Consider the following 15,282-nt stretch of genomic DNA (forward strand, 5'->3'; position numbering starts at 1 on the left):
GTAGAGACAGGGTCTTGCTATGTCACCCAAGCTGGTCTTGAACTCCTGGCCTCAAACAATCCTCTCAGCCTTCCAAAGCATTGGAATTACAGCCATGAGCCATGACTGCCAGCATTTGGCCATTTAGAACATTTTGTCGTGAGCTCTTGGACCTGGCCAACTCCAAATGTTATCCCTTCCTGCTCCTTCTCCCTGCCTCTCACCCTAGAGAGATACTCAGGCTGATTCCATTCCTAAAGGAGTGCCCAAATGACTCTTGGATTCAGACCAGCATAGGAATAAATACTAGGAATATGTTCTTTACATCTCTGGCTAGGCAAAAAACATTTTTTTTTTGTATTTGTTTTTGTTTTTTTAAGACAGAGTTTCACTCTTGTTGCCCGGGCTGGAGTGCAATTCACAGTCTCCAATCACTGCAACCTCCGCCTCCCAGGTTCAAGTGATTCTCCTGCCTCAGCCTCCCAAGTAGCTGGGATTACAGGCATGTACCACCACACCCAGCTAAAATTTTGTATTTTTAGTAGAGATGGGGTTTCACTGTGTTGGTCAAGTTGGTCTTGAACTCCTGAACTCAGGTGATCTGCCCACCTCGGCCTCTCAAAGTGCTGGGATTACAGGCGTGAGCCACCACACCCGGGTGTAATCGTATTTTTAAAGCCACATTCAAGTTACAAGGAGTGCATGCCCTGAGGCAGGTCTGGCTGTAATTGGGAAATTGAGACCCCTTGACTTATAAAATTTTGGGCTCCATTCTTGCTGCTTATATCTGTTTCTGGGACTTGTTGGCTTGAGGATCCAACCCTTAATGTTCAGCCCTCTGCCTGGTGCCTGGCCTGTTGCTTTCCAGTCTCCCAGTCTGGATTCCTGCTTCCTGACCCTTGATTTCCTAGGCCATGCCTCAATCGTCTCCCTACACTCAGCTACCCTCCAGGGATCCTGGATTCCTGGATTTGACCTCTTGCTTGCTTACCCCATGGTTCATGCATGCTACTCCTTCTGTCCTTTACTTTCTGTGATTTCTTGTCCTCCCAACTTACTTAGTTGCATTGCCTGCCCGCCCTTAACTCCGGCTCCTCCTACCACTATGTTCTTGTTATTCCTCAGTTTCTGGGGTGACTCTTCTGCTTCACCCTTCCTTCATGTTCTGATGCTTAGCTCCAGCTCCAAACTGACAAGTTAAGAGGCTGAGGCTGGACACGGTGGCTTACGCCTGTAATCCCAACACTTTGGGAGGCTGAGGTGGGCAGATCATGAGGTCAGGAGTTCGAGACCAGCCTGACCAACGTGGTGAAATCCTGTCTCTACTAAAAATACAAAAATTAGCTGGGTGTGGTGGCGGGCGCCTGTAATCCCAGCTACTTGGGAGGTTGAGGCAGGAGAATCGCTTGAACCCAGGAGGCAGAGATTGCAGTGAGCTGAGATCATGTCATTGCACTCCAGCCTGGGCAACAGAGCGAGACTCCATCTCAAAAAAAAAAAAAGAAAAAGAGGGTGAGATAACCATTCACCATGTACCCTGCCTTCATTTGTCACTCTTTAAGAGTCACTTGGTGTCCTTACTGGGCTGTGGCTGCAGGACATGGCCTATCTTTCATAGCCTCAATTCCCTCCACAACAGCCAATCATCAATAGAATTTCAGACCAATTGTCTTGAATGCAACAAAGCTGCTAAATCCTCTCAACTCCCCTGGACCCAGCACTTTGCATGGGAAGAGAATGGAACCAGGATGATTATTTCCTGTAGCCATCCACATGGCATCGAAGGAGGAAAGGTGTAACAAGCCATTTTGTCCATTTGAAGCAATTACTCAAACTGCTCCCACCAAGACCAGAATGTTTCAATGATGTCTGTGAGCAGGCACCAGTTAGGAGGTTATTATAATAATCTGGAACGTAAGGACAAGAACCTGAACTGGAGAGACAGCAGTGAACAGATAAGAGAAAGCAAGAGACAGAAACAAGGTATTTTCATGAAAAAGAGCAATATCACTTGGAAACTAAATAGAGGGAAAGGAGAGAAGGATTAATCAATGCCAAGGCCGTTGTTGGATGTAATCAGGTTATCTCCAGTTGGATCACCCCATGGGCAGCTACAACCAACGAATCTAAAACTTAACAGATTTAGGCCACCTGTTACATTCAGTGGTTCTGTCACTCCCTCAGCCATCTGCATTTGAAACTTTAGATGGTCTTTGATTCTACTCATATGTTCTTTCTTTCCTTTTTTTTTCTTTCTTTCTTTTTTTTTTTTTTTTTTTTTTTTTTTTTTTTTTTGAGATGGAGTCTTGCTCTGTCACCCAGGCAGGAGTGCAGTGGTATGATCTTGGCTCACTGCAACCTCTGTCTCCCAGGTTCAAGAGATTCTCCTGCCTCGGCTTCCCGAGTAGCTGGGACTACAGGTGTGTACCACCACACCCAGCTAATTTTTGTATTTTTAGCAGAGACAGGGTTTCACCATGTTGGCCAGGCTGGTCTTGAACTCCTGACTTCAAATGATCCGCCTGCCTTGCAAGTGTTAGGATTACAGGCGTGAGCCACTGCGCCCGGCCCATTTGCTCTTTCTTAGTTCCAGTAAATCACCAAATCCTACTGATGTTTCCTTTAAAAATGTCTCTTAAAATACACCCCATTCTTTTATTTCTAGTGCTCCTACACTGGTTTAGGATCTCAGAGATTCTAGCCAGCACTCGTCTTAGTTCTGCCTTCAGCCTTCTCTGCTTCAATCCATGCCACACACAGCTGCCACATAATCTTGCCAAAACACCACTTTAAACATGCTACCTCACTTGCCAAAAAAAAAAAAAAAATACACCCATGACTTCTGTCATGTGGGAAATTATCTTGCTGCAATAGTAGCCTCCAAGTTCATGACCACAGAGCTATCTCTGAGGTCACACAACAGAAAGGCTCCTAGACAAAGCTAAAATGCTCGAATCACATGGTTTATTAAATCAACTTAAAACACAGAGCAAGATGCAAGGGAAAAGGGATGGGGCTATTTAACCAAGTTAGGGTAGGGTGCAAGCTAGGTGGAAGGACCATACTACCTGAATCTAGGGTGCACAGGTTCATCTGTTTTGTATCTTTTTCTATTGCATCTCCTTCCCTGATGAGGATGTTACAAGGGCCAGCGTTGACATTTAAGCAGGGGTACCCACAGATAGATGTCCTGGTCCAATGACACACTTGCTTTTTCAGACAGAGGAAGTCAAGTTTGCAGGGGCGTAGCTGTAGCTTGCTAATTAGTTTGATGAGCAGCCACGATTATATTTGTATATCTTGAGCAGAGGGCACATGGGCCAGAATAAATGTCACCAATAGATTGAATTAAAACCTCGTGTGGGAGGAGGGAGAGCATCAGGAAGAATAGCTCAGGGATGCTGTGCTTAATACCTAGGTGAAGGGATGATCTGCACAGCAAACCACCATGGCACACGTTTACCTATGTAACAAACCTGCACATCCTGCATACATACCCCTAAACTCAGAAGTTGGAAATTAAAAAAAAAAAAAAAACCTCATGAGAGGGGCCAGGCGCTGTGGCTCACACCTGTAATTCCAGCACTTTGGGAGGCCAAGGCAGGCAGATTGCTTTGAGTTCACGAGACCAGCATGGACAACACAGCAAAACCCCATCTCTACTAAAAATACAAAAAAAATTTAGCCAAGAGTGATGGTGCATGCCTGTAATCCTAGTTACTCAGGAGGCTGAGGTGGGAGGATGGCCTGGAAGGCAGAGGTTGCAGTGAGCTGAGATCACACCACTGCACTTCAGCTTGGGAAACAGAGCCAGACCCTGCCTCAAAAAAAAAAAAAAAAAACCTTATGAGAGGTGATGGATATGCTAATTACCCTGATTTGATGGTTACACAATGTGTATATGTATCAAAACATCACACTGTACCCCATAAATATGTACAATTATTATGTGTCAATTAAAATCAAACTTATTTTTTAAAAAACCTCACGGGCCAGGTGCGGTGGCTCATACCTGTAATCCCAGCACTTTGGGAGGCGGAGCAGGCAGATTGCTTGAGCCCAAGAGTTTGAGACCAGCTTGGGCAACATGGCGAAACCCCACCTCTACTAAAAATACAAAAATTAGCTGGGCCTGGTGGCGCGTGCCTGTAGTCACAGCTACTTGGGAGGCTGAAGTGGGAGGATCACTTAAGCCTGGGAGGCAGAGGTTGCAGTGAGTCATGATTGCGCCACTACACTCTAGCCTGAGCGACAGAAAAAGACTGTCTCAAAACAAAAATAAAAACAAAAACAGGCCAGGCATGGTGGCTCATGCCTGTAATCCCAGCACTTTGGGAAGCTGAGGCAGGCGGATCACGAGGTCAGGAGATCGAGACCATTCTGGCTAATACGGCAAAACCCCGTCTCTACTAAAAATACAAAAAAATTAGCTGGGTGTGGTGGCAGTCACCTGTAATCCCAGCTACTCCAGAGGCTGAGGCAGGGGAATCGCTTGAACCTGGTAGGCGGAGGTTGCAGTGAGCCAAAATCGTGCCATTGTGCCACCGTACCCCAGCCTGGGTGACAGTGAAACTCCATCTAAAAAAAAAAAAACACACACACACACATCCGGGCACGGTGGCTCACACCTGTAATCCCAGCACTTTGGGAGGCCGAGGTGGGTGGATCACCTGAGGTCGGGAGTTCAAGACCAGCCTGACCAAAATGGAGAAACCCCGTCTCTACTAAAAATACAAAATTAGCCAGGGTGGTGGCACATGCCTGTACTCAGGAGGCTGAGGCAGGAGAATCGCTTGAACCCAGGAGGCGGAGGTTGCGGTGAGCCGAGATCGTGCCATTGCACTCCAGCCTGGACAAAAAGAGCGAAACTCCATCTCAAAAAAAACAAAACAAAATCTCATGAATATTGAGTGCTCATACATATTTGGTGTCTCCTGAATATTAGTGCCTTTGGTGTATTTAGTGCTTTGTATGTCTTACGCATGTTTAGGATATTAGGAATCTTTAGTACCTTTTGTGCATTTAGTATAGCATGGCTGTTTAGTACCCAGGTGCCTCATGAATGTTAGGCATCTCTTGGTCCTTTCTATGTTTAACACACAGATGCTCTACTTGCTAACTATTTAACACACCGTTCTGCCTATGTCTAAAAAACATTTTGTTGAAACATCTTAAAATGTTTCACCCATGTTTTCCAAACTACACACTTATCTTTTCTAGCAGGGTTGAGTATTCTCAGGGTAAATTTACATTACAGTCTTCTCTTTGCCACATGAACTAAGCCCCTGATCTACTCCCTCCTGCCTCAAATTGCTTCCTCCTTCAATCTTTTCAATCTCAGAAGTGGCATTTCCTGATCTCAGAGTCAGCGTTGTCTTCAAACACTCTTAACTCTCCTCATACCCAATTCAGCCACATCTCACACTTCTATTCCTAAAATAGACTTTCATGTACTTCTGTCTGTCTCCACTGCCACCCCAGTCCAAGCCACCACCAATCTTCTGAGATAACTGGAATTTGGTTCTCTCTCTGCTCTTGGCCACTTCAATCCTGTTCCACACAACAGCCCAGAATGCTCTTTCCCCAACATCAGTTGGATCCCCTGCTTTAACTGTTCGGTAGTTTCCCATTGTATTTAGGATCAAATCCAAAGTTCTTAATTTTGGTGTATGAGAGTCTGAATGGCAGACTGTGTTACCTCTCTAGCCCCATCTCAGCACCAGATGGAGTTTCACCATGTTGGCCAGGATAGTCTTGATCTCCTAACCTCAGGTGATCCACCCACTTCGGCCTCCCAAAGTGCTGGGATTACAGATGTGAGCCACCGCACCCAGCCTCAGCACCTGTCTTGCTTTAGTAATACTTCACAGGATCTTTAGTTTCTTCCTTATGGCTTTCGCAAATCCAGTTTTGTTTTGTACCCCCCCCCCTTTTTTTTTTTGAGATGGAGTCTCGCTCTGTCGCCCAGGCTGGAGAGCAGTGGTGCCATCTCAGCTCACTGCAAGCACTGCCTGCTGGGTTCAAGTGATTCTTGTGCCTCAGCCTCCCGAGTAGCTGAGATTACAGTCATGCGCTACCACGCCCGGCTAATTTTTGTATTTTTAGTAGAAACGGGGTTTCACCATGTTGGCCAGGCTGGTCTTGAACTCTTGGCCTCAGGTGATCTGGCCACCTCAGCTTCCCAAAGTGCTGGGATTACAGGTGTGAGCCACCGTGCCCAGCCTTGTTTTGCTTTATTTTTAAGAGACAGAGTCTTTCCCGGTCACCCAGGCTGGAGTGTAGTAGTGAGCTCATAGTTCAGTGTAACCTTGAACGCCTCAGCCACCTGAGTAGCTAGGACTACAGGTGCTCGCCACCACACTAGCTATTTATTTATTTTTAGAGATGGGGTCTTGCTGTGTTGCCCAGTCTGGCCTCAAATTCCTGGCCTCAAGGAATTGTCTTGCCTCAGTCTCCCAAACTTTTAGTGAGTTATTTAGCCTCTCTGATTCTCAACATTTCTCACTTATGAAATGGGGATAGAGATAAGTGTCTCACAAGTTGCTGTGAGGATCCAGTAGGAATAGGTCCTGGAAAGCCCCTGGCAGGTAACTGACCAAAGCGTTCAGTAAACCCTTGTTCCTGCTCACTGCTTTCAGGGCCAGCACATTTCCTCTACTCCTCTGCCTGCCCTGCACCTCATTCTTCTCAACCTCAGTAGGTCCCTCAAGGTCATGTCTTCAGGGAGCCCCGGAGCCCCCTTCAGCCCAGCCCCTGATGAATGCCCACGCCTCAAACTCTTTAGCTTCTCATTTCCAGTTTGTGGAATGTACTATGGTAACTGTTTTCTGTTTGTTTAAATCTTTCATGCGTCTGTCCTGTTTCTTTAACTAGATCCCAAACACCTTTGGCAAGAGGCTTCCCATCTCACAGCTTCTCGTATTCCTCCTAGTACCTGGCTCAGTGCCCTACGTAGAGATATTCAACTTAGATGCATCTAATGTGTGTGAGTGCCAACGGGATGCCAGGCACTGTGCTTGGCCTCCATGTTAATTATCACCTAACTTCATTTTTTATGATAATCCTGCCAGGTAAGTATTGCTATGCCTGTTGTGAAAACGGAGCTTCAGCGATTTAGTCATTTGCTTAAGGGCACCCAGTTAACAAACAGTAGCCTTTTAACTCTCTGGTTTATAGCCTGGTACATAGTAGATACTCAATAAATACTTGTTAGTGCTCTTTCCATTATACCATGTTGCCTTTTTGGGGGAATAGTTATTCATAGGGCAGATGAATAATTTTCATCGTGTTCTCAATTCTTACCCACCTCTGCACCCCCCACAAGAGCTTAGCTGAAAATCTCCTATCCTTGATTCTGTACCCTAAAGTTCTTCCAGGGTCCTGCAACCCTAATTCTCATTTCCTGTTATTCTAATTCAGTTTCCTATTAGTGCCACATCTGTTTGCTAAGTTCTCATAGAGCCTGAAGCAGGATACCCATCTGTCTCCCCACAAACCCCGTCCTCTCTTTCTTCCAAAGCTTCTCTTCCTCATGGTCCCCCTTCCTCTGTTCTCCATCTATCCCTGCTTTAATTCAAGTTGTTAATTCAGGTTGTGCCCTGTTGGAGGAATCTCCATAGCATTATCTGCTTCTGCTGCTTATGATGATGATGATGATGATGATGATGATGATGAGAGGGAGTCTTGCTCTGTCGCCCAGGCTGGAATGCAGTGGTGCGATCACAGCTCACTGCATCCTCAAACTCCTGGGCTCAAGCGATCCTCCTGCCTCAGCCTCCCAAGTAGCTGGGACTACAGACAGTCATGTGCCACCAAGCCAGGGTAATTTTTTACTTTTTGTAGAGATGGGGTCTCTCCATGTTGCCTAGGATGGACTCGAACTCCTGAGCTCAATTAAGAAATAACACCCCTACCTGGGAATGCCCTCTAAACTACAGCACTTAAGTCTAGGAGGTGCCTAGAGTTCTTTGGGGTGGGCGTTTGGGCAAGTTATGTCCCCTCTCCTGGCCTGAATTTCCTCACATGTAAAATGGTACTGCTTGTTAACACCTATCAAGTCCCTATGTAAGGTACGTAAGGTACATTAGCATTGCATGTATGATGAAAAGTCAGTCATAGCAGATGCTTACACAGCATCTACTGTGTGCCACACACGATGCCAAGTGCTTTATATATATTTATTCACTTAATCCTCACAACAACCCTATGAAAATGTTATTATTAACCCTATTTCACAGGTGAAAAACAGAGGTCTCCAAATTAAGTAATTCACCCTGGATCACCCCTGACGGCAGTGAAGCTGGGTTTCAAATTCTGGCAGTTCTGGGCTCCAGAGTCCCTGTCTTAACCACTGCCCTATACTTCCTCTTATTACCTCATAAAATGAGGGGGGCTAGTTAAAAATAATCCCCTAGCATTTTTATAGCACTTTTCTAATTCTAAAGCACTGTTCACATTCTGTGCCCTATTTGATCTTCACAACAACCCTAAGGGAAGGCATTATTAGCCCAATTTATGGGGCAAGAACTGAGACTTATTAGAAGGGTCATGTGTCCAAGGGCTCACAGCTGACAAAGACAGATTCAGTACTCAAATCCAGGACCATCCGTTCCCACTGCCCCTTCTGCTATGCCTGGGATCTCAGACGCCAAACAATACTTTCTGTCCTTTCATTTTTCTTTTCCTTTTTTGAGACAGTGTCTCACTCAGTCGCTCAGGCTGGAGTGCAGTGTCGATCATAGCTAACTGCAGCCTCGAACTCCTGGGCTCAAGCAGTCCTTCTGCCTCTATCCTCCAAAGCGCTGGGACTACAGGTGCACACCAGGGCACCCAGCTCATCCTGTCCTTTCCAAGGCTCTTGCAGCTCCAGCATCATACACTGTTTTTTTCTCTCTGCGTTTCTTTAAAGAGGATGCAGTGTTCCCTGAAAGAATCCACCACCCTGGCCAGGCGCGGTGGCTCACGCCTGTAATCCCAGCACTTTGGGAGGCCGAGGTGGGCGGATCACCTGAGGTCAGAAGTTCAAGACCAGCCTGAGCAACATGGAGAAACCCCGTCTCTACTGAAAATACAAAATTAGCCGGGCATGGTGGCTCATATCTGTAATTCCAGCTACTCGGGAGACTGAGGCAGGAGAATCACTTGAACCCAGGTGGCCAAGTTTGCAGTGAGCCGAGATCAAGCCATTGCACTCCAGCTTGGGCAACAAGAGTGAAATTCTGTCTTAAAAAAAAATCCCCCACCCTGTCACCTCCCCCCGAGCCCTGCACAGCGCATGCTCACAAACAGCAGCAGGGGGTGCTGTAGATGAACACACAGGCACTGCCAGGCGGGCACCCTGTTGGAGGAATCTCCATGGCACTTGCTGCTGCTGATTATTATTATTATTATTAGACAGGGTCTCGCTACGTCGCCCAGGCTGGAATGCAGTGGTGCGATCACAGCTCGCTGCATCCTCAAACTCCTCGGCTCAGGTGATCCTCCCACCTCAGCCTCCCAAGTAGCTGAGACTACAGACAGGTATGTGCCACCATGCTGGGCTAATTTTTTACTTTTTGTAGAGGTGGGGTCTCGCCAGGTTGCCCAGGATGGGCTCAAACTCCTGAGCTCAAGCAATCTGCCTGCCTCAGCCTCCCAAAGTGCTGAGATTACAGGTGTGAGCCACTGCAGATGTTTTTTTAGCAAGTACCGCTTGTACGTAGTATAAAATTTAAAAGGTACAAATGAATATGCAATGTACCTGCCTCCCAGCTGTGCAGTTCCCCTTCCTGGAGCAAGCTGAGGAAGTTTTGTAGTGTTTCATTCTAGAGACAGTTTATGCTTATATAAGCAAGTATATATTGTTTTCCACGTCAATGTTAGCATACAAACATGCACATATTATTTTTTATGCCTCACACAAATGATATCGTACTATACACACTATTCTTCCCCTAGCTTTTTCAAAGTAATTTATCTTGCAGATTAATCCATATCATAATTCATAATATTTAATTGAATAGGTTAACTATAATCAATTTTACCAGCCCTCTATTTTCTAATCCTGTACAGTTACAAGCAAAGCTGCAATAAATACATTTCTCCCTAAATCGCTTTGCACGTGTGCATTTCTGCAGGATAGATCCCCAGAAGTGAACCTGCTTACCTGAAATGGCATGCATTTGTAATGTTGATCAATACTGCTAAATCACCTTGCACAGAAGCTACCCATTTACAGCTGCAATCGGGGGGCACACAAGTCTGTTTCCTACACCCTCACCAACTCAGAATTTTATCAAGCTTTCTGATCTTTGCCTATCCTATAGGTAAAAGATGGTTTCTCACTGCAGTTGTTTTTTGTTTGTTTGTTTGTTTGTTTTCTGAGACAGAGTCTTGCTCTGTCGCCCAGGCTGGAGTGCAGTGGCGCGATGTTGGCTCACTGCAAGCTCCGCCTCCCGGGTTCATGCCATTCTCCTGCCTTAGCCTCCTGGTAGCTGGGACTACAGGCACCCACCACCACGCCTGGCTAATTTTTTTGGTATTTTTAGTAGAGACGGGGTTTCACAGTGTTAGCCAGGATGGTCTCGATCTCCTGACCTCATGATCCGCCCGCCTCAGCCTCCCAAAGTGCTGGGATTACAGGCGTGAGCCACTGCACCCAGCCCTCACTGCAGATTTGATTGCATTTCTCTTATAATAAGTGCTTCCTGATTTCTGAGATTCATTAATACAATGCATAAATAATTAGCAGGTACCTCCAGGCACTGTGTTGGGGTAAACTCCTCCATCTGTCCCTGGTCCAACTCACTGTGTCATTTCCTGCCTGCCCTGTACTGTCTTGCCTTGTTGCATCCGTTAGGAAGCCATTTTCATGGCTTGGCCATCCTCAGCAAGTCAAGGAGGGGTGACCTCACTTGACCTCTTGTAGAGGGTTAGGAGTGAGGAGAATGTGTTTTTTTTTGTTTTTTGTTTTTGTCTGTTTGTTCTTGTTTTTACCTTTTCTTTGTTTCTCAATAATAATTTCTGCAACCCAATTAAGCAAAGCTGAGGGATGGGGCACAGGTTTTTTTTGTTTGTTTGTTTGTTTGTTTTTCTAGAGACAGGGTCTCACTCTCTCACCTAGGTTGGAATGCAGTGCCACAATCATAGCTCATGCAACCTCGACCTCCTGGGCTCAAGCCATCCTCCTACCTTGGCCTCCCAAGGTGTTGGGATTATGGGTGTGAGCCACTGCACCTGGCCCAGGCACATTTGTCTTGTGGTCAGAGTTACCCCTGAGTCCAAGGGCTTCCCAGAGTCACTCAGTCCAGTGGGCCACTCAGTGCTTCGGTCTTCTCATCCTAACCCCTCTGTGGTGTCAGGATGGTGGACAAAGAGCAGGTAGCTGGACACTTGGCTGTGTTCAGCGGATGTTGTTTGCTTCATGACTGGCAGGTTGAAACTTCCTCAGATTAGGTGCCAGCTAAACATAAAATGTGTTTGCTAGCAGCGCTTTTAGATTAAAGTAAGACCAAGAAAAAGCTAGGGTTCCTGTTCCCTTCTGTGTGGGAAACCTTTGCAGGTTTCTTTGCAGTGCAGAGCACTTCACCTTGACAGGAGGGAGTCCTGGCCCACCAGGCAGAGTAACTGCTTGCTCACCTGCCTGCTTCATAAACCTGTGATCAACCTGAGGCTCACACCTTATTGAGGCCTCCTCAGAATAAGGGCAGAATCAACACCTGGGAACTTTGAATGACTCTCTTCCCGGTTCCAGTTCCCAAGAACGGCAACCTGAAGGAGCCCACATCTTTCTTTGGCAGCTTAACTAATGTAATGAGACCTGCAGTTCATCCACAGCCTGAAATTTTCCTCCTAAAGCGCGCTTTTAATCCAGTCACTTGTAGAGGTTCCCCGTGGCCTACTAAATGAAGTGCAAATTCCTTAGCTTGGAATTTAAGGGCCTCCGTGATATGGCTCTGGTCTACATTCCCAGTCCCTTTTTCCACTACCTCACGCTCCAGACTGACTCAGTGTTTCCCCGTGTGCCCACGTTCCCACCCTGCGCCTTCGCCCCAGTCGTCCTTTCTCTGCCCAGAACATGTACCCCTGCTCCTCTGCCATGGCGGATGCCCTCCTCTCTCTCTCTTTTCCCAGCCATGCTTTGTTTAGAAAGTAAGAATAATGAGGTTTTTCTTTTTAAGAAAAATATAGGCCGGGCATGGTGGCTCACGCCTATAATCCCAGCACTGTGGGAGGCTGAGGCAGATGGATCACTTTGAGGTCAGGAGTTCAAGACCAGCCTGGCCAACATGGTGAAACCCTGTCTCTACTAAAAATACAAAAATTAGCCGGGCATGGTGGTGGAAGCCTATAATCCCAGCTACTCAGGAGGCTGAGGCAGGAGAATCGCTTGAACCCAGGAGGCGGAGGTTATAGTCAGCCGAGATTTCCCCACTGCACTTCAGCCTGGGAGACAGAGCAAGACTCTGTCTAAAAAATAAAAATTATATATATATATATATATATATATATATATATATATATATAAATTTCCCATATCCTTCAGGGTCTTTCTCAAAGGTAACTGGCCCACAGCTGCCTGCTCATCCCACGTCTCAGGGGATGATCTTTCCTGGCCTGGCTCCCACTCAGGCTTCGTTTCTCCACCTCTCATGTCTCAAGTCCCCTCTATCTTGCATCCTCGTTCCTGCCCCACCCCAGTGAGCGCTGGAGAGCCAAACAGGTGTCTGTCATCTATGCACTGTCTACCGCTGATCAGTATCAGCCAATCGTCTGATCTGAGTCACTCTGAAATTGGAGACTCCTCCCCTGCTGCCACCTCCTCTTTCTGCTTTGAGTATGAGAAATGGGAAGAGTTTGGAACCTGTCACTGCAACCGCTGCTGCCACCCCTTCAAGTCCTTCCCTATGAGGGCTCTCCTTTTAACTCACAGCCTCCCCTCTAAAGTCAGGAGATGAGGTCAGCCCTGAACCCCACCCTATGTCCCATCCCCCAGCCGACACAAACACCACAGAGATCAATGGGGACCTGTGTTCTAGGCTTGGGATGAAACTGTCCCGTTTGCTCTTTTCCTGAGGTAGGTACCATGGTTACGTGTCTGGCCGGAACATTTGTTCACTTTGAGTTCTTGGAATGAATGCGCCAGAAAAGGGAGAAATCAAAAGCCATCTCTTCTGTGGCCCTGGTCTCTTGCGTGTGCAGATAGGCATGGTCACCTCTCTGCTAATGACCTGTGTGGTATTAGGTGGTGATGTATGCACTGGCGAGGCTGGAGGAAGACAACCTGGCCCTTCTCCAGGGCTTGCTTCTGGCACCTTCTGCAGAGCAAAGAGTGGGACCTTGGAGTTAGAATACCTGAGTCCTAGTTCTTACTCCACCATTCGTTCCATAGCAGATGCCCTTGACCAAGGTCCTTAATCCCCCTCAGCCTAAAAATAGAAAATAGTTATATTTTCTTTACCTTCTACATGGGCTTTTCTGAGCATCAAAAGAGAAAATGTATGTGAGAGTGTTGTGCAAATTATTATTATTATTTTTAGACAGAGCCTTGCTCTGTCTCCCAGGCTGGAGTGCAGCAGCACTATCTTGGTTACTGCAACCTCCGCCTCCTGGGTTCAAGCGATTCTCCTGCCTCAGCCTCCGAAGTAGCTGGGGCTACTGGCACGCACCACCCCGCCTGGCTAACTTTTTTGTATTTTTACTAGAGAGGGGGTTTTACCATGTTGGCCAGGCTGGTCTCAAACTCCTGACCTCAGGTGATCCTCCTGCCTCGGCCTCCCAAAGTGCTGGGATTACAGGCATGAGCCACCCTGCCTGGCCACAAATTATATATATATATTTGAGACGAAGTCTCGCTCTGTCGCCAGGCTGGAGTGCAGTGCTGCGATCTCGGCTCACTGCAACCTCCGCCTCCCGGGTTCACGCCATTCTCCTGCCTCGACTTCCCAAGTAGCTGGGACTACAGACGCACACCACCATGCCCAGCTAATTTTTGTATTTTTAGTAGAGACCGCGTTTCATCACGTTGGCCAGGACGATCTTGATCTCTTGACCTCGTGATCTGCTCACCTCGGCCTCCCAAAGTGCTGAGATTACAGGTGTGAGCCACTGTGCCCGGCCTTTAGCCTCTTGTGTTGAATGCCATACCAATCCAGCCTTCTTTGCCACACAGACCTCCTTGGTTCCTTTTCCTTTGGTGTCTTCCTGCCCTGATTCTTTTTTTTTTTTTTTTTTTTTTTTGAGACAGAGTCTCACTCTGTCGCCAGGCTGGAGTGTAGTTGTCCAATCTCGGCTTACTGCAACCTCCACCTCCCTGGTTCAAGCGATTCTCCTGCCTCAGCCTCCTGAGTAGCTGGAACTACAGGCGCCTGCCACCACACCCAGCTAATTTTTGTATTTTTAGTAGAGGTGGGGTTTCACCATGTTAGCCAGGATGGTCTCGATCTCTTGACCTCGTGTTCCGCCCACCTCAGCCTCCCAAAGTGCTGGGATTACAGGCGTGAGCCACTGCACCCAGCCCTGATTCTTAACTCCCTAAGAGTTCTGGGCTTAAAAGTTGCCCCATATTTCCAGCATTTTGCACCTCTGACCCATCGCTTTAGCTGGGTTCCCCATGAGATTGCCTATGCTGAAAAAAATAACTGGATCTGGGGCCGGTGGGGAGTGCACAGAAAGGCACCAGTGTGACCTCCACATTTGTGAGATTGAGGACACCCAATGAGAATCCAGGCTGAGAGAGGCCATGGGCATGACCAGCCAGGGAGCTGCAGCACTTGACAGATAACATTGTTAGACTGTGACTCACTCTCTGCAGTCTGGAAAGCTCAACCTCTCTGCTTGGCCTTCCCAGGAGGGCCACTCAGATCATGCAACCCTCTGAGCTCCAGGTTGGGCAGGCAGAGCGGGGGCCTCTTAATTCCAGAGCTGGACTGTTTCCTCCCCTTCACCCCACATGGAAAATCCCACATGTTAAAAGGTTATGTGTTGGGAGCCTGCAGGGAGAAAAAAACTTGCCCCGTTTGTGCTTTCCAAGAGAGAAGCAGGAGCCATCGGAGCTCCTGACCCTGTCCAGGACCCTGTCCTCTGCTGACCCACGGTGGGGACCCAAACCCAAGCTCTGGGGTTATTTTCTTCCTTTGCTGAAGGCTGTTCCTCGACCTTGAGGCACTCACATCACTCTCTCCTCATTCCCCTCTCCTCCTTCCCTCTCAGGTTTCTCTCCATCATTCTACTGTTTTTATTTTATTTTATTATATATTATTTATTTATTGAGACAGAGTCTCACTCTGTCTGGAGTACAATGGTGCAATCTTGGCTCACTTCAAC

At 47.3% G+C, this 15,282-nt stretch overlaps 1 annotated feature.

Annotated features, from left to right (window-relative positions):
• Positions 14,516–15,081: an enhancer, noted in NCBI's record as "H3K27ac hESC enhancer chr17:42664661-42665226 (GRCh37/hg19 assembly coordinates)". NCBI's record gives its function as "activates a minimal SCP1, AML or CMV promoter by ChIP-STARR-seq in naive H9 embryonic stem cells {active_cell/tissue: H9 hESC(naive)}" and the evidence as "EXISTENCE:reporter gene assay evidence [ECO:0000049][PMID:30033119]".

Source organism: Homo sapiens, chromosome 17 (assembly GCF_000001405.40).
Source record: "Homo sapiens chromosome 17, GRCh38.p14 Primary Assembly".
Taxonomy (NCBI): Eukaryota; Metazoa; Chordata; class Mammalia; order Primates; family Hominidae; genus Homo; species Homo sapiens.